We start from the raw sequence: 6797 nt of genomic DNA on the forward strand, positions 1-6797 counted from the left end.
TTTCATATTATTTTCACATGACATGAAATATTATTATTTTCAATTTTCAGTATTTAACATCATAAAAATCATTCTTAGCTCACTGGTCAAAAGTTAGAGGCCATTAGGTCATAGTAGGTGGAGCTTTATAGAAATTCAGGTCTGTTTTACTTTGTACGAGACTACTTTGCAAAAGTTGCATTCACATTTAAAAGGCTGTAAAACGATAATAGTTGTCTTAGGGGAATGAAATTATGGGTAACTATTTCCTCTGTACTGTGGTTGTGTTGCTTTCATAATTACAACCACTCAAAATATTAATTGATAGCTTATTTTATAATAAATTGAATAACTTCTGTTAGATTGCATCAGAATCTCAAAACTATGTGAGTTCATTTTTTTTATTGATTTTCAGTGAGCAGTTATTCTTAACAGAAGATTTCAAACTAACCATTACTTATCCCTTAAGTCAAGTTTTTTATGATCTGTGGACAAAAGCAGACATTTCACAGGCACTTGAGCTCATAATTCATTGTCATTAAATGTTAAATGGTAAATAAAAATACCACTTATAAATCTACCATTTGAACATTCAAATCCTTGAGTATTTAAAAAATGATTATAACCACCCTTTAAACATAGACTATCCATCTCCTTCATAGGATAAGTATTCTAAAGAAAGGTGGTAAGGTGCAATGGAAAAACAAACAAAAAATCCCTATAGATTTGGGGGTCATAAATAATCTGGGTCTTTACCACAAATTTGTTTCTCGAATGGGTAATAGATAACTAGCACTTCTTTTCTGTTATTAGATTCTAGGAAAAGAAGAGGATTTTCTCATCATTACTTGGGTGCAGTGAGGAGCTAAATTTGTGGAATCAGAGTCAAATTTGAAACAAATTTGTCCATGAAAAAGTCATAAAAATTGGTTAAGACCTCTAGCATTAGTAGTTCCATGTGGCAATCAAATAGCTTGTGTGGGGCTGACTGTTTAATTTACTACACTATCTCTAATAACTTTTCTTATCCAATAATGTGTTTCATATTGTAAACTGCTTACATCCCATCATAAGTTTGCTTCACAAATTGTGAGTTTAGCTTTATAAGTGCACATAAAGTTATGCATGGCTTAAGTGATACTATAAATAAATAAAACATAAAAGATACTGCCTATCTGGCTGCAGAAGTAAACTACCACCAGATTTCAGCCCAGTTGGCACAAGAATAATGCTTTGGAGCAATTCAAGTCTGAAACAGCTTCAGTGATACCATTTAAGCTTGAGGTATATTGGCAGAGCAAGGATATGACTAAACTAAATTTGGCTTAAGCCACCTATTACTCATACCCTCTTTCTACTGCATTCACACTTCAATTAACAAACTGTATATGATACACACACATATATTTATAGTTTATATTTTTCCTGTGTTGGCAATGAAACTTTTTAAATTACCTTCTGTAAGCTGTGAGAATCTTCTATTTGAATCTATTTGACAAGATAAGACTTAGCTTCAAAAGTGGTGGGGTACATGGGTTTTTCCTGTTCATCTTTAAAAAAGAGTTAACATTTGTGCACTTTAACTTACCTCATTACCACTCCTTACTCCTCTTGCTAAGTGGGATATGATCATCACATCCTTTTTATAATAACTAACACTTACTCAGAAGGAGGCTGTATGTCAAGCATTTTGTATGTGCTACTATTATTTTCAATAGTGTGATAGATACACCGAGATTTCAAAGTTAGAAAAATCCACCCAAGTTACAAGGTCAGCATCTTCTTTAGTCAAGGCATCATTCTCTACTCTTTTAAAGGTGAAGTTTATTGAGGTATAATTTACATACATGAGGAGGCACCATTTTCTATGAGTTTTGACAAATATTCTAAGTGTGTAACCACCACCACAGTCAACAGAAAAATATTTTCATGACTCTTGATGGTCAATCCACTTTCCCTACCTGGCTGGCTGCTACTGACATTACTGTCATTATATGTTTGTCTTTACTAGAATGTCATAAAATTGTAATCACATAGTATGTGGCCTTTCGTGTGAACTTCTTTTCTTGGCATGCTACTTTAAGATGTATCTTCATTTTTGCATGTTAATTCCTCTTTAGTGATAAGTTGTATTACATTGAATGGAAGTACTTTGTTTATTCATTCACTAGTTAACGGACATTTGTGTTGTGTCCAGTTTTTAACAGTTAACGAATAAAGTCACTATAACCATTCATGTACATATATTTGTATGGGCATGTATTTTCATTTATCTGGGTAAATACGTAGTGGGTCATAAATATGTTTGTTGTTTGTATGTTTCACTTAAGCAGAAACTACCAGACTGTTTTCCAAAGGGACTACTTTTTTTTTGCATTCCTATAAGCAATGTCTGAGATTTCCAGTTGCTCTACATCCTCATGAGCTATTTTAAGCTCTGTGTAGTGAAATTTTATTGTAATTTCTATTTCCCCAGTCAATAATGATGTTGAGCATCTTTTTGTGTTGCCTGTTTGTCACTTGTCTTTTTTCTTTGGTAAAGTGTCTTTTCGAATCTTTTGCTCTTTTTGAAAATTTGATTGTTTTCTTACTACTGAGTTCTAAGATTATTAAAATATATTGGAGGAACAAATACTGTGTCAACTCTGTTATGCAAATATTCTCTCCCTGTCTGTGACTTGTTTAAACCTTTAAAAACAGTTACTTTAAGAAGAGTAAATGCTTTTAATTCTAATGAAGTCCAATTTATCATTTCTTCTTTTATAATTTGTGCATTTTTTCCTAAGAATTTTTTCTGAGCCCAAGATCACAAAGAGTTTCTTCTATATTATATTCTAGAAATTTATAGGTTTAGCTTAATTTGTATCTACGATTCATTTTAAGTTAATTTTTGTGTATGGTTCAAGGTATAGATAGAGGTTCAATTATTTGCAATTGTTGAAAAGACTATCTTTCCCCCACTGAAGTATATTTACACCTTTTCCAAAAACAATTGCCCAAATATTGATAGGTATAACCTGGTTTCCTATCATGATGCATTTATCTCTATGTCTATAATTATGCCAGTATATACTGTCTTGATATTGGAGCCATATTGCAAGTCTTAGTCATATAATGTAATTAGTCAACTTTGCTCTTCTTTTTCATTGTTTTCTTTTAAGCAGTGCTTTGTAACAGAGCTTTATACTAATATTCTAAAGACACTAGTTAATAACCTCTAAAATCCTGCTATGGTGTATGTTTTAATGTGTTTACTACTTAGAGATGTATTACTCTCTCTTACACCTCTAAGGAGAAAGTTTAAGTTCTTCAAAAAATGGGACTCTTTATTCAGTAGGTGACATCATTAATCAATTTAATATTTATAACAGTCCCACACCCTGCAGTTGAAAATTTTAAGACTGTGGCAGACGAATCACATTTTTAATAGATCATCAAAATGTACTATTAAAATATCTATCTTATATTAAAAATTTGTTTAGGGTAACAAGAATCTGAAGAAAATCTTAAATCTGAAATAAAAATTATACTAGTTTATTTTTAAAGAATTATCATAAAAATATTCAGGTGCTGTTATATTTATTCTGATCCTTGGTGAAATAATTCCAAAATACGTTTTGAAGAATAAACTTGTCTAAAAGGCAAAGAATTTCTTGAAAATAAATTACAGTGTTAAAGATGTTGCACCAAGATCAAATCATTAAAGTGTCAAGTATCACACTAAAACCAGAATGGACACGTTCCTATTACAGGACAAAAAATACAAAGCAGATCAAAGTGTGTTGTGTTCGTGCATGTGTCTATGCATGCATGTAAGTGCATGTGTGGGGAAGGAGAAATGTATGTAGTCTATCATGAAGTTACATTTTAAATAACTTGGAAAAATATAATTTACTTAAGAATGATTCTGGAGTACTGTGCATTATGAATAAAATAAGTTTACATAAATAATGTTTTACCATATAAAAAAGGCAAATTCTATTCTAATTAAGACTTAAAATATAAACAAGAACCACTAAAGCATTGAAAGATAAGTTTAAATAAATACATAACTTTGATGAAGAAGCATTATTAAAAAGTAGCTCAGTAATTATTGACTGAGACTTTACAAATTTCTAAGCACTGAAATTCAAACCCTTTGCAGGCATTATCTAATTTAACCTTAATCGATTGACCATGAACGTGGAAGCTGAGAGGTGATAATATGAAGATCTAATAAATTCACACCTGGAGCTCCCTGAATCTGTGCTAAAAATGATAAATGTATTTGACTTTACAAAATTGTAAAAATGTATACTTACATTATTTAATTATAATAATGATATAAATTTGTGAAATGTTTGCTCTCTCTATAAAACAAAGTATTAATATTCTTACATATAAAGAGTAATTATCAAAACAATCACAGAAATAAAAGGGTGCAAATAATAAGATTTGGCAAATCACCAAAGAAGAAATACATAATAAATGAACTTGTCAAACAATGTTCACATTTCTAACAATCAGAAATGCAAATAAATAAATTTTTCTATTATTGGAAAACATTTAAAAAATTATTATAATTAATATCACTAATGATTTGTCACAATTAAATCTAAGCAAGATAGGAAGTCACATTTACTGCTGGAGGGCCTATAATTTGTATGAGCTCTTTGGAGGACAGTTTGGCAATATGTATCAGGAGCCTTAAATGTGCATTTACTTTGATCCCCAAATTTCACTTCTAGGAGATTTTCCTTAAGTAGTAACAATAAAATAATGTAAAACCCAAAACTATAAATACCCTAGAAGAAAACCATTCAGGACATAGGCATGGGCAAAGACTTCATGACTAAAAAACCAAAAACAGTTGCAACAAAAGCCAAAATTGACAAATGGGAGCTAATTAAACCAAAGAGCTTCTGCACAGCAAAAGAAACTATTATCAGAGTGAACAGGCAACCTACAGAATGAGAGAAAATTTTTGCAATCTACCCTTCTGACAAAGGTCTAATATCCAGAATGTACAAGGAACTTAAATGTATTTACAAGAAAAAAACAAACAACCCCATCAAAAAGTGGGCAAAGGATATGAACAGACACTTCTCAAAAGAAGACATTTACGTGGCTAACAAACATATGAAAAAGAGCTCAACATCACTGTTCATCAGAGAAATGCAAATCAAAACCACAATGAGATACCATCTCACACCAGTCAAAATGACAATTATTAAAAAGTCAGGAAACAAGATACTGACACAGCTGTGGAGAAATAGGAACACTTTTACACTATTGGTCAGAATATAAATTAGTTCAACCATTGTGGAAGATAGTGTGGCAATTCCTCAAGGATCTAGAACCAGAAATACCATTTGGCCCAGGCGTTTTACTACTGGGTGTATACCCAAAGGAATATAAATTATTGTACTATAAAGACACGTTCACACATATGTTTATTACAGCACTTTTTACAATAGCAAAGAAATGGAACCAACCCAAATACTCATCAATGATAGACTGGATAAAGAAAATGTGGTACATACACATCATGGAATACTATGCCGCCATAAAAAGGAATGAGATCATGTCCTTTGCAGGGACATGGATGAAGCTGGAAGCCATCATCCTCAGCAAACTAACACAGGAACAGAAAACCAAACACCGCATATTCTCACCCATAAATGGGAGCTGAACATTGAGAACACATGGACACAGAGAGGGAAACATCACACACCAGGGCCTGTTGCGGGAGTGGGGAGTGATGGGAGGGAACTTAGAGGTGGATCGATAGGTGCAGTAAACCACCATGGAACATGTATATCTATGTAACAAACCTGCACGTTCTGCAGCACAGGTATCTCGTTTTTTGTTGTTTTTTTTTTTTTTTTTTTTGGAGCAATAATGACAAAAAAAAGAAAATAATATAAAGAAATTTGTAGAAATGCCATCATTAAAATATTTTTGGAACAGTAAAAATTAATGTACTAATAAATTATGTTATAGTAATATAGTGGACTATATTATTATCAAGAAAGTAATGCTATACATATTCTTACTATATCACTGATGAAAATTCACCAATATATTATTGAATAAAACTTATAAAACATTGTTGTGGTATTAGAATCCAGCTGCCATTTATTCCAGCTATTCCAGGAAGCACTGAAACATATTTGTTCTAGGAGGACAACCATCCCATCTTTTGGATAAGTCAGTTAAGATGAGTATGAAATAAAATGGTTCTAAATAATAAAGAGTAAGAGTGATTGCTTGCTTGGTCTTTCAATGTCATTTATGGTGCCTGTAATGGAAAAGAGAGAGCAGAGATGGAAGAGTGGACCCCAACTTTAAGATGAGATATCAAAAATAGTGATGGCCACTAAACAGGGGAACTACAAAATTTACCAACCAAACCAAGATATGCTTGACAGTGAAGAGTCTCTGTTTATAATTACACCCAGTGAGCAGGAATATACTCAATTGGCTATATAAACTAGAAAATTGCTCTTATCTGTTAGTAGTCTCTCTGATGATGGTCATTTTTTGTTATAAGGACCCCTCATATCTAGTTTTAGGTCACATTATATTTGCAGTGAAATTCTCTCCTATTATCTCCAAACTATCCATGATGATTACCATGTAACAGAGCTCTGTGCTTGTGAAACTGTAGAGGTCTGAAGGTAAGGGAGGCTGAGTAATTATCTGTGTGCAATAGTACAGAGAACAGTGTGTAAGAAGGAGTTATCTGGAAAGTTCAAATAGTCTTGGAAATCCACAGGTGTCTACTGTTTAACTTAAAGATAGGAAAACTATCATTTCTTTATATCCATGTACATAGC

Source organism: Homo sapiens, chromosome 9 (assembly GCF_000001405.40).
Source record: "Homo sapiens chromosome 9, GRCh38.p14 Primary Assembly".
NCBI classification, from domain to species: Eukaryota; Metazoa; Chordata; class Mammalia; order Primates; family Hominidae; genus Homo; species Homo sapiens.